Source organism: Homo sapiens, chromosome 9 (assembly GCF_000001405.40).
Source record: "Homo sapiens chromosome 9, GRCh38.p14 Primary Assembly".
Lineage (NCBI taxonomy): Eukaryota > Metazoa > Chordata > Mammalia > Primates > Hominidae > Homo > Homo sapiens.
In genome coordinates this window covers 89,248,778-89,263,007 of record NC_000009.12, presented here as the reverse complement: position 1 = coordinate 89,263,007, position 14,230 = coordinate 89,248,778, and the positions used below count along the sequence as shown (strand labels likewise).

General features: G+C 44.3%; 1 annotated feature.

Annotated features, from left to right (window-relative positions):
- Positions 5,060–5,354: an enhancer, noted in NCBI's record as "tiled region #4063; HepG2 Activating non-DNase unmatched - State 18:Pol2, and K562 Activating DNase matched - State 3:PromF". NCBI's record gives its function as "activates a minimal TATA promoter and a strong SV40 promoter by Sharpr-MPRA in HepG2 and K562 cells {active_cell/tissue: HepG2 | K562}" and the evidence as "EXISTENCE:reporter gene assay evidence [ECO:0000049][PMID:27701403]".

Sequence of the window (14,230 nt, the reverse complement as noted above, 5' to 3'; positions counted from 1 at the left end):
AAAAATTAATTTTAGCTCGACTTAAGTCATGAAGCTGAATGCGTTTCAGTCGTCTTTGCATGAGTAGTGGGGCTGCAGAGGGCAGGAAAGAGTAGGAGTGCATGCCTGCCTGAGAATACTTGAGCAGAAAGAGGTCTGGAGACTTGAAAACAGGTCGTGTTTGGGGTGCTTGTGTGTAGTGTGCACACATTCTTCTGAGATGTCCTTGAAGGAGCTTCAGGATAGCTTAGTAGGTAATCCCAGAGAGCTCTGCTTTTTTTGCAGAAGTGGTGGTGCTCTCATGAGCATGAGGTATTTTGCAGGAATGGTAACATCTTAGATGGTGTAGTAAAATAGATCCAGCATGAGGGCTGAAATGATGAGTTTCACATTAAGACCTGTGTGGAAATTTGCTTCCACCACTGTATATAACATTAGGAAAGGTATTTAATTTTTTGGAGTCTTAGTTTTCTCATCTGTGAAATGAATGTTAGAATCAGTCTCTTAAATTTCCAGGGAGGTGTTTTCTTCCTTTAACAATGCCATTTATTTTGCTCCAAAATATAGAATTGGGCAGAGCTTTGCCATCTCTATTTCATGCAATGTCACCTGGGAGGAATGACTGGCATGCATGCATTTGGAGGGCTCTGTGGTGCTGGGTGTTGGCTGGTAGCTTGTCTGGGGCTTTGGTTCCTCTCCATGTGGGCCTCCACGGTCCTGCTAGGGCTTCTTTATGTCATGATGGCTGGCTTCTAAGAGCAAGTGGCCCAAGCAAAGGGAAGTTTGCCTTTTTCTCTCTGATTCCTCTCATTCTAGGTCATCCTTTCTCTGTTGTCATCTAATCCTCAGCACACAATCAATACAATTGTTTGAGCTCCTAGTCATTTTTTTGGCTTTCAGAAACACATACATCCCCCTTCTGAGGCCTAAACTGGCATTATCATGTTCTTAGCTTTCTGCTCTGGTCGATATCTTTCCTGATTCCCTCAACCCAATTCTTGCTATTTATCTTTGCATTGTCCCCAGTGTCAGCCCTCACACATCAGGTATTTGATTCCCTCACTCATGATTCACCCATGGAACTGATTCAATGTGCTCTTCCTTCCAGCTGGCAGAGTTTCTGCTAGATCTCTGCTTCAATCTTGCATCTCTTGTATAGGTATAGGACTTCATAACAACAACAAAAAACAGTGGGGCACTTATAGGTAACAGTAGCAGAAGAAGTAAGGGTTTGGAATCCCAGTTCTGGGGTTTACTCATCAATGTGTTGGACAAGCCATTTACCCTCTCTGAATCTCAGTTTCCTTATTTTAAAATGGAGATGACACCAATAACATATTTGCTGTGCAATTGTGAAGAAAAAGTAAGATAATTTATGCAAGGAACATAGTGACAGGTCAGTGCGTGTCAGTTTCCTCCTCCTTGCTCTTTCCTTCTGGCACTTGGAAGACCCAAGCACAGCCTGCTGGGTCTTAGTGCTCAGCTTAATGCTGAGGGTTAGACTCTTCAATACTCAACATCAAGCTGCTGGGTTGGGACAAAGGTGGTGCAGTTGGAAAGGTTTGGTCAGGGCTAAGAGAAGGGATGCAGAAGCGCCACCCTAGCAGAGCAGGTGGGGTGTGGCTTTGGGTCTGATGATCATGTAGGCTTCCAGCCAAGGTAGATGCTGAAGATCCAGGAGTGGATGAGGCCATGACGGCTCTGAGGCTGGGCTCCTGAAAAGCAGGACGTGGGGCTGAGCCCCTGGATAGTGGCTGATGAGGAACTAGGTTTTTTCTTGCATAGCCAGGACCCCTGGAGGGCCAGGCCTCATGATTCTCCATGTTGCTTACTAGGATAGGAGTGCATGGTTGGTTCTTCCTTTAGATTATCCGGGACAGAAAATGTGTTAGTACAGATTGTAAGAGAGATTCTGAGCGCGTAGGAAGTTTTAAGTCTTTCAGTCTGATGACCTTGATGGAAGGGCTGAGGGAGGAAATGGTTTGTAAGATCAAGAGAAATGAAGACAGGGATGGTCCTCAGGGTCAGTTACATCCTTATTTTAAAACCTTAAAATAATTTTTAATACATCTCATGATATGACACAGAAAATAAAGGTAAGCAAAAATATAAAATAAATAATACCTGTATTTAAATGTTGCTTTATACCTTCATATCCTCCATCTGCACACACACTGCATACACATACCACACACTACACAAACACCATACACATACAATGCAGCACATACACACACACCACAAGACACACACACACACACACCACACATGCCACACACACACCACAGAGCACATACCCAGCACACGTGCACCACACACCATACACACACACCACACACATATCATGCAGCACACACGCAACACAACACACACAGCACACACACACCACATACACACACCACACACAACAGCATGCATCACACCACACACACACTGCATGCACACACCACATACCCCCCACACCACATACACAACACACCACACACTACACATATACATGCACACTCCACACATACACACCACACCACAAATACACACACCACACATACACACACACACACAAACACTTTAAATCAAAATGAGATTGTATCAAGCCTACAATTTTATAAACTGTGTATTTTCAATTTATACTGACACTGCACCAAAACTACTTACTGAAAAGTAACAGCTTTATTTATGTATTTATTTTGAGACTAATCAACTTTCTGTCTCTAAGGATTTGCCTATTCTGGACATTTCACACAAATGTAATAATATAAAATATGTGAGGATCTTTTTTATCTGACTTGTTTCACTTAGCATAATGTTTTCAAATTTCATCCATCAGTACTTTTCTTTTTATGGCTGAACACTATTCCATTGTGGGGATATACTGTATTTTATCTATTCATCAATTGATGAATAGATTTGGTTTGATTCTCCTTTTTGGTGATTATAAATGATTCTATTGCAAACACTGTGGATAAGTTTCTGCGATGAACCTATGTTTCCATTTTTTTTGGATATATAACAAGGAGTGGAACTCCTGGGTCATATGGTGACTCCATGTTTAAGTTTTGAGGAATTTTCACACAGTTTCCCAAAGGAGCAACACCATTTTACATTCTTACCAGCAATACATGATGATTCCAGCTCCTCCATATCTTGGTCACCACTTCTTATTATTTGACTTTTTGGTTATAGCTATCCTAGTGGGTATGAAATAGGATCTCATTTTTGTTTTGATTTGCATTTTACTAATTATTACATCTTCTTTGGAGAAATGTCTATTCTAATCCCTTTCCCATCAAATTATTTGTCTTTTTTTTTTTTTGAGACAAGGTCTCTGTCACCCAGGCTGGAGCAGAGTGGCGGGATCATAGCTGACTACAGCCTTGAGCTGCTGGGCTCAAGTGATCCTCCCGTCTCAGCCTCCCAAATAGCTGGGTCTACAGGTGCGTGCCACCAGCTAATTTTTTAAAATTATATTTTGGCTGGGTGTGGTGGCTCAAACCTATAATCTCAGCACTTTGGGAGGTCAAGGTGGGAGAATCACATGAGCCCAGGAGTTTGAGACCAGCCCTGGCAATGTAGTGAGTCTCCGTCTCTACAAAAAGTAAAAAAAAATAGCCAGGCATGATGGTGTGCACCTGTAGTCACAGCTATTCAGAAGGCCGAGGTGGGAGGATCAGTTAAGCCTGGGAGGTTGAGGCAGCAGTGAGCTGTGGTCAAGCCACTCACTCCAGCCTGGGTGACAGAGCAAGACTCCGTCTCAAAATAAAAATAAAGATAAAAATAAATAAATAAATAAATAAATAAATAAATAATAATTTTGTTAGAGACAAAGTCTCACTATGTTACCCAGGCTGGTCTCAAACTCCTGGCTGCAAGCACTCCTCGCATCTTGGCCTCACAAAGCACTGGGATTACAGGTGTGAACCACTGCACCTGGCTAAGACTTCTTTATATATTCTGGATCCTAGACCTTTACTGGCTATATGATTTGGAAATATTTTCTTCCATTCTATGAGTTTTTTTTACTTTCTTGATAGTGTTCTTTGAAGCACAAACATTTTTAATTTTGTTGACAGCCAGTTTGTCTTTTTTTCCCCCCTTTGGTTCCTCGTACTTTGGAGATCATATCTAAGACACTATTGTTACCCAATCAAATGTCACAAAGAATTATGCCTGTTTTTTCTTCCTCAAGTTTTATAGTCTTAGGTCCTGCCTTCAGCTCTTTACTTCATTTTGAGTTAATTTTTTGTATATGGTATGAGGAGTCTAACTTCATTCTTTTACATGTGGATATGCAGTTGTCTCAGCATCATTTTTTGAGAAGACTGCTCTTTCTGCCATTGAATTGTCTTGGTACCCCTGGGTGAAAATCAGTTGCCCAAAACAAATCGAGTTTGTTTCTGGATTCTCAATACTATTTCATTATTTCATTGATCCATGTCTTATTATCTTATTCTATTCTTATTCTATTATCACACAGCCTTAATTACTGTAACTTTGTGGTAAGTTTTGAAATCAGAAGTGAGTCCTCCAACTTGTTCTTCTTTTTCAAGATTGTTTTGGCATTCTGAGTCCTTTGCATTTCCATATGAATTTTAGAATCAGCTTATCAACTTCTGCAATAAACTCTTTTTTTGCAGTTGGAATTTAACTAGGGATTATGTTGAATCTGAAGACCTATTTGGTAAGTTTTGCCATCTTCACAATATTAAGTATTTCAATCCATGAACACAGGGTGTCTTCCTACATTTAGGTCTTTAATTTTTGTCCACGGTGCTTTGTAGCTTTCAGTGTATAAGTCTTGCACTTCTTTGGTTAAATGCATTCTTAAGTATTTTATTCTTTTGATGTTATTGTAAATGGAATGGTTTTCTTGATTTGATTTTTGTGTCTTCATTGCTTGACTTTTCCAGCTTCTAGGGCCACCTGCATTCCTTGGTTTATGGCCCCTTCCTCCATCCTCAAAGCCAGCAACAGCAGATTCTTTATCTCACATCCCCTGCTCCTTCTTCCATCCTCAAATTCCTCTCTCAGCCAGAAACCTTCTCTTCTGTTAGGACTCATGAGGCTAGATTAAACTCACCTGGATAGTCCAGGAAACCCTCCGTGTCTCAAAATCTGCACCCTTCATCACATTTGCTATGTAAGGTAACATATTTACAGCTTCTGGGGATTAGGTGTGGACAGCTTACCTTTTTTTTTTTTTTTTTTTTTTGAGACGGAGTCATGCTTTGTCACCCAGGCTGGAGTGCAGTTGCGCGGTCTCAGCTCACTGCAAGCTCCGCCTCCTCGGTTCACGCGATTCTCCTGCCTCAGCCTCTGGAGTAGCTGGGACTACAGGCGCCCGCCACCACGACCGGCTAATTTTTTGTTTTTAGTAGAGACGGGGTTTCACCGTGTTAGCCAGGATGGTCTCAATCTCCTGACCTCGTGATCTGCCCGCCTCCACCTCCCAAAGTGCTGGGATTACAGGCGTGAGCCACCGCGCCCGGCCGGACAGCTTATCTTTAGGGGGCTGTTATTCAGCTGACTATGGAGAGTAAATGGGTGGGAGAGGTGTAGGGGAAGCACTCAGAATCCCTGGATGTTCTGGAATCCAGTCCAGCCTGGTACAAGGAAGAAACTCAGTCCAAGACACTAAATTCACTCGTTACCTTTACTTAATTGTAAGAGGATAGTACAGTTAAGCATGGGTGGGAGAGTTAAAAGGGCTCCGCATGGCTGGGAGAATTAAAAGGACTAAGTCTTAGAACGTATCTGGCCGGCATGGGTCAGCCAATACACTCAGTGAAGGCTTCTGGTACCTGTAGGATTAACACGTGGGGGAGCTCTGAAAACTGCAAACACCAGGCAAACCCAAGTTATTAGAGTGAACTTGGACTAGCTTAATTTGTAGACAAGAATCCTGATTTAGGATTTACAAAAGAATATTTGTTTTAAAAACAATTTGATTTCACTTTTCAAATGCAGTAAGTTAAAAAAGATGAAGAATAATGTTACTTTAGAAAACTCATTAAAACTATGTTAAAGTAACGGATTTCAGTTTTTAGAGCCAGCCTGTTACCTCTGCAGGTGGCATTGTTTCTGGAGGCAGAAGCCACGTGGAGGCTTGGAGCTGTGCCATGTTCTTAATTGGACACCTTGTTGAATGGTAATTGAAAAATGTCTTCACGCCCTCCTGGGTGCCTCCCAGAGGCTCCTCCACAGGGGGTAGCGATATCTTTGATGGTGGAGGCACTTGCCAGCAAAATTTCGGCCATGCATGGGCCACGTGGCCAGGCGGTTGCCTCTTCTCTGTGGAGCCAGCTGCTCTTTGTCTGTGTTGGTCAGTACAAGATGAGGATGGAACAGAAAAGAGGTGTTCAACACCTGGTGCATGGCTGCCGTGGTCTCCCTTCCTCCTTCCCCCATTCTTCTCCAGATGGCCTGTTATGGCAATTTGGTGCCACTGACTAGGTCTAGAAATTACTTATGTTTTCCTTTAAGATTTAAAAAGGAACACACATGCACACAGACACACTTGTAGACACACACATATGCACATACACCTCCATACACACATACACATGTACACACATATGCATGTGCACATGCATACTCACTCACACGTGTGTACACGCACCCAATCACTCACCCATATGCTCACACATGCACACTCATATACACATATGCACACGCACATGCTCACACTACGGCAATATCAGGTCTCAGCCACAGAGATTCTGATCTAATTAGTTGGAGTGAGTCCTGAGCATTATTATTTTTAAAAACTGGGACGCGCGCAGTGGCTCACGCCTGTAATCCCAGCACTTTGGGAGGCAGAGGCGGGCAAATCACGAGGTCAGGAGTTCGAGACCAGCCTGATCAACACAGTGAAACCCTGTCTGTACTAAAAATACAAAAATTAGCCAGGAGTAGTGGCATGCGCCTGTGGTCCCAGCTACTCGGGAGGCTGAGGCAGGAGAATTGCTTGAACCTGGGAGGCAGATGTTGCAGGGAGCCGAGATTGAGCCACTGCACTCCAGCTGGGGTGACAGAGAGAGACTTCATCTCAAAAACAAAACAAAACAAAAAACTGAACACACACACACACACACACACACACAATCCTCAAAACCGTAGACACAAAGTTGTGGTAGTTACTCCATTATACACAGAACGACAACAACATTTCACATTGCTCACAGATGCTTTTCAGAATCGATTGACAGGGAAGGCTTCTACCAACTCCAGAACCCACAACTTTTTTTTTTTTTTTTTTTTTTTTTTGAGACGGAGTCTCGCTGTCGCCCAGGCTGGAGTGCAGTGGCGCAATCTCGGCTCACTGCAGGCTCCGCCCCCTGGGGTTCACGCCATTCTCCTGCCTCAGCCTCCCGAGTAGCTGGGACTACAGGCGCCCGCCACCTCGCCCGGCTAAGTTTTTGTATTTTTAGTAGAGACGGGGTTTCACCGTGTTAGCCAGGATGGTCTCGATCTCCTGACCTCGTGATCCGCCCGCCTCGGCCTCCCAAAGTGCTGGGATTACAGGCGTGAGCCACCGCGCCCGGCCCAGAACCCACAACTTTTGTTTGTTTTCAGTGGTGGTGGCCTCCCAGGAGCCCACTTGACTGTGTGTGCACCGCGATTTTTGGTGAATGGAGTTCATAATGACAAAACTTACTACAACTTGGAATGCAGCTGGCTTTGCCCGCATGGTCCCTCTCTGTCGCTGTGGCTGCCCTGTGGTGGGCTCACCTGGGGGAATTGGAGGTGGGAGGCAGGTGAAGGGTCAAGCTGCCTTAGGCAGGCAGGGACTCTCTGTTGGTGGCCACTGCTCCTGCCAGGGTGGCTTCTCTGCAGGACCCTCCCCTCTCACTGTAGGGCCCAGGGTGTGTCCAGCCCCAGGGTTTTGCACCAGCCCTTGTGGTTTCCAGGTGGTATTTTTTTGCATGATCTCCTTATTAAACTCTCCTCCACTTACCCTAGTGGAGGAGGCCTTTTCCACTTTCTGCTAGGACGCTGACCCGAACGAGGGACTGAAGTGAAGAGTGTGGTCAGCTTTATCTCTGAGGCACACTGTGGGCTGCGTGTCCCAGAGGAATCTGCAAGCAGGCTGAGAGGGACAGGTGCAGCACCGCTTGGGGCGCTGAGCTGTGGCTGGGAGTTGGCAGCCAGCGTGATGATCTTGGGGAGGATGGAAAATTAAAATAGGTGGCGGCATGTTTTGAAATACATGAGGGCACTAAAAACATAGTGCAGCCAGGGAAGAAAGTCCAGAACCACTTTCGTGCACTCACACCACACACTCACACACGCCACACTCACACCACACACTCACGCCACACTCATACCACACACTCACACACGCCACACTCACACCACACACCCCCCACACATGCCACACTCACACCACACACACTCCACACTCACACCACACACACACGCCACACTCACACCACACACTCACACGCCACACTCATGCCACACACTCATGCCACACTCAACACCACACACTGACCACATACACACAGCACACAGCACACACTCACACACCACACTCACCACATACATCACACAGCACACACCACACACACCACACTCATCACATACACCACGCACACTCACGCCACACTCACCACATACACCACACACAGCACACACTCACACCACACACACGTCACACTCACCACATACACCACACACACCACACACACCACACTCATACATGCCATACTCGTCACATACACACATCACACACAGCACACACACCACACACTCACACATGCCACACTCACCACATACACACATCACACACACCACACACACCACACACTCACACACGCTACACTCACCACATACATCACACACAGCACACACACCACACTCACCACATACATCACAAACAGCACACACACACCACACTCGAACACGCCATGTATATCATACACTGACACACACCACATAAACACACAGTACACACATCATATGCATTACACGTACCACACATATCACACACACAACACATAGCACACACTCACACTCACATACACCACATAAACACACCACACACCACACATGCCACACTCACCACATACATCACGTACACCACACACACCTCATACATATACCACACACACATGCCACACATACCTTACACTTACACTCACACACAGCATATAAGCACAAAGCACACATGCCACACACACCACACTCACACATGCTACACACCACACACACCACATAAACACATACCACACTCACGCACACTACACACACCAGGAACACCACACACACCACACACCACATAAACACACAGCACACACTACACACACACCACATACACTCATACCACACACCGCATAAACACACATACACACTAATGCACAATACACATATCACACACTCACAATCACACACACCACGTAAACAACACACACTCACACACACTTTACTTACACATTCCACACACCACACACACTCATACCACATCACACATCATATAAACACACACATCATATAAACACACACTCACACATCTCATACACACCACATACACCACACACTCACACATACCATACACACACCACATAAACACACCACACACTCATAAACACACCCTGCACCACACACATCACTCACATATGCCACATACATTCACACATTTACACACACCACATACATACATACTGTACACACATATCACACACACAAACACGCCCCACACTGCACACACCCCTCACAGACACCATGCACTCACACTCACATAGACCACACAACCGACATAAACACACACATTCTCACACACACCAGACACACACACACACACACCCCACACTACAACGGGGCAAGCACATCTAAGCCTAAGACACAGCAACTTGGAAGGTGCCGGGTGGAAAAGGGAGTAGGAGAGGGATGGAGAGGTCTGAAGGGGGCAGCGACATGAAACTGGAGACACTCCTTGCACACACGGATGCTAATTACATTCCACAGACTGAGGAGTGCAATTGACTCAACTCGCTCTACTGGAGGCTCAAAGCATGCGTTTTATAAAGGTATGCTAGCCACTGTTTGGGGGCAGTTCATCAATTACAAAAATCCGTGTTTGGTTTTCTTAAGAAATACTGCTTCTGATATTTTTATTGCCTTTGTGTTTTGCAGAAGGCTTGGCTTTGGCCAAAGAACGTGGAATTAATTCCTCCACTCTGTGTTATGGCAAAACATGTGTTACCATGGTTTCTTAAAACAAAATTTCAATTAGCAGATGGAGCTACTGAGAGGAAAGTCTTATTGGGGTAGAAATTTGGAGCAGAATTAAGGCAAAAATAAACACATTTCAAAGCCCTACCATTTAGAATGATAATGAATTATTGCCAACAGTATGGTGGTGTATCAACTATTGTGTTAAACATTCTTAATTGATATATATCTCACAAAAATTAGTAAATTCAGTACCAGAGTTTAGTTTACAATGTGCTTTATTTTAGTCTATAATATTTTTAAACTTGGAGAATGTTGGATAGAGGTAGATGAAATACAGGAACTTATTTAGAATTCATTGTGGATGATCAAAGACTATTGAAACATGTTGAAATGTTGAAATGAATCAACAGAGATGTTCTAAATCATCACCAGAATTTAAATTATGCTATCTTTGTAGAGTATGTTAAACATTGGAAAATTACAAGGTGAAACTTAAAGTCAGTGGTTTGTTATTACTAACAATTTGTTCTCCCAGGGTAATATAATATTAGATGAGCACATGGCTGTTTAGAACAAAGACTGCATTTCCCAGCTTCCCTTGCAGCTACACATGTTTGTGTGACTCACATCACAAAGGGCTTCAGAATATTTCAACTTCTTGGAGCAGTCCTTAAGATCCAGCAACCTTCACCCTTTGCTGTCTTCTTCATTCATTGCTTCCTCTTGCTTTCCAGCATGTGGTGCTGCTAAAACCTCTAGGCTTGATTTATGTGTGAGAGAAATTAACTTCCACCTACAAGAAGTAGAAACTATCTCGAATTTACTTGTCACTTGCAGAAGAACCTAATTCTAAGTGTTGCAAATTCTTCCATGAATTCAATAGGTTTGAGACTTTAAAAGAGAAGCTGGTGTACTTGACAAGTTCTCATGGAAGACATTGAATATCATGGTTTATAGGGAAACTCAGATACCTGGTTAGCACATGCTCTGTTCACCCACTGTTTCCTGGTACCCACTAGGAATAGGTGGGCATGTGACTATGGACATCAGTCAAAGACTTGTGTAAGTAGAAACTAGCTCATATTTCAGGCAGTTATGTTTGGGGTCAGGGTTGGTGAACAAGATGAATCTGCATCATATAGATCCATTTGTAAAAGGGATCTCCTGCATTTGATGGAGTCTGTTGACACCACCTTATTCTGTTACTCAGCAGACCTTTGGTTTGGTGTAATGCTGCTGCCAGGCTTCAGGCATCCTGAATCACGTGTGTGACCCTCCTGCCTGATTGCTTCTCTCCAGTGCTCTCTAGCTGATGAGGATATGGCCATTTATCTAGTGTGGCAAGCTATGGATAGATGATAGATAGATAGATAGATAGATAGATAGATAGATAGATAGATAGATAAGAAAACAAACTCCAAATCCTGATTTTGGGGGGTAATCCAATATCTGGGGTTTGGGGAGAGGAGAAGGAGTCACCCAAAGCAAGGAGGAAAATGGGGAGGAGAGCATACCCAGCTCTGCCAGATGGTGCTGGGTTAGACAGGGAAGGGGACTGGATCCCTGGATTGGGAGAAGTGTGCATTCCTTGGTGACGTAGATAAGGGCAGCTGTGGAAGACTGCACTGGGGCCATGGGAGGGTGGGCAGAGAGAACACAGAGACCATGCTTACAAGGACACTTGCTATATAGTATAAAATGAAGAAGTGATATGAAGAGGGGTGGTGGCCTGAAAGGGAGGTGGAACCAGGAAAAGAATGCAGTTGAAGAGGAAGTCTGAGGAATCTTCTCTTTAGTTCTGCTAGACTATTGCTTTGGGATCTGTTTTGAAGATGATGATAGATAGATAGATAGATAGATAGATAGATAGATAGATAGATAGATAGAATGATAGATATAGACAGAAGATAGAAAGAAGATAGAAGATGGATAGATGATAGAAAGAGATGATTGATAGAGATAGATATAGATAATAGATAGATAGGTTTGATAGATGATAGAGATGAGGGCATCTACTCAGAGGCAAGGGCCTGACTGGGAGAGCTGCTCCCAGGCTGGTGCCTGAACTTGGCCTGGGCTGTAGAGGGCTTCTACCTACACAGACAGAAAGTCACGTCCCCCTGGCTGCCCCACCTGCTGTCCCCCACCCCCTCCCCCCCCGGGGATTTCAGGGTATTTCATAAAGGGATTTAAGTCGAAACACTTCCCCTTGCCTGAGACATTTTCTATTCTGGGAAAAAAGATATCTGCTGATGAAATGCACTGTGGGATTCAGACTTTTCTTTAGGAACATACTGTATTGTTTTGCAGACACCTGTCTTATTCTGAAAACAGGAAGAAAATTTAGAATAGGTCTCATCTAAGAGAAGAATAAGGAATGTAATTCAATGGCGTCAATGCTGTAAAGTAGGTTCCAAATGAAGAAAATTTAAAGCAACATTTAAGAGAGAGGTAACTGGTTGCAGGAAGTGAAAATTAAAGCAAGATTTTTTTCCTAATGAAATCTGTCAGAACTAGATGTTTTTTGATGTTTTTGTTGCTGCATCACAAGGAAGTGATTTGATGTATTTTAGACTACATCCTGAGAGTGTGTGGGGTGTGTTAGAATACAGACATCGTGAAATGCATGGAAATTTTGGGAGGGATACACCAGGGTGCAGGTAACTTTGAGAGCGAAGCTAGTCCTCCCTCGGAGGCGTGAAGCCTCTGGATTGGAAGAGTTAAGACGTGAACCCAGGAGGAGACATTGATTTACAAAATGGGCCACAATTTGAAATTGCACTGGGGGTTAGGGCCCCTGTTGGAGGGCAAAGATATGTAGGCAGGCTGCTTCCCTGCAGGTCCAGTGGACCAGCAGAGAGCAAGCTCCTGATTGTTTCTGACTCTCCCAGGCAGCCCAGGAGAAGCCAGGCCAGTTCTGCAGGAGGGAGGCCAGTGAAGTGTCTCATCTACTTAGCACCAGGAAAGTCAGGACATTAAAACTGGGTAAAGGAAATGTCCTTTTCCTGGACTATTTCACCTGGTGACAAAGACTCTCCTTGACCAAATGCTAGTCAGGCTCCTCTCCTCTGAGCCCTCTTCCCAGCTAGTTCTCAACGTTTAGACTCCTGTTCTTCTTTGCTGCACTCAGTGCTAGCAATAATCCTGTCAAGTGGGTTTAGCCAGAACCCCTCTCCCTCAATACCTGATGATTCTCCATATCCAACTGGGTTCTTCATCCTCCACCAGCCCTCAGGTCATGTGTGGTCACACCAGCCTGTCTTCTGCAAGAACCCTTTTAGGTCACTTTAGCCAGATTCCCCCATCACCCCTGATGTTCCCTCTTAGTCATTTTCCATCCACTGGACCCCATCCTGCTCCTTGGCTATAAACTCCCATTTTTCTTTATTGTATTTGGAGTTATAATTTGGAGCCCAATTTCTCTCTCCAATTGCAAAACCCCACTGTGGTGGTCCGTATACTTGCCATGATCGTTCCCTCTGAATAAAGTCTGCTTTCCCATGCTTTAACGAGTGTCATGAATCACATTTTTCTTTACCCCTTGCTACATGTTTAGATGGATCCTGCACCTGGATACCTTCTCATGAATCTGGGCATGTCTAGCCTCTGGGGACAGGGGAGCAAAGCTGCCCTGAAGCAGCTCTCAGCACCTCTGCAAGGCCACTGGCCGTGCCCACACTTGTTCCAGTTCACTTGCTGGCTGGGATGTGGTGAGCCCTTTCTTATTTTTAAGTCTTGTTTTTAATGTAAGCCTGTGCTTACATTATGAAATTGTTTCTTCAGCTACTCTGTGGTAACATAGCTTGGTAAATTACATAGGTTTATGAATATGTGTGTGTTACTAAAGATTAGCAGTGAGCCCAAACAGGATGAAATAATGGAAGTGGAAGTCTCTGATGTTAAAACCTTCAAATTGAGTTTTAAGACTTTGGAAATTGCTTCCTTCTGATAGAGCAATACTTATTTTGTGGGCTTTTTTTTTTTTTTTTATGGAGTCTTGCTCCGCCAGGCTGGTGTGCAGTGGCACAATCTTGGCTCACTGCAACCTCCACCTCCCAGGTTCAAGCAGTTCTCCTGC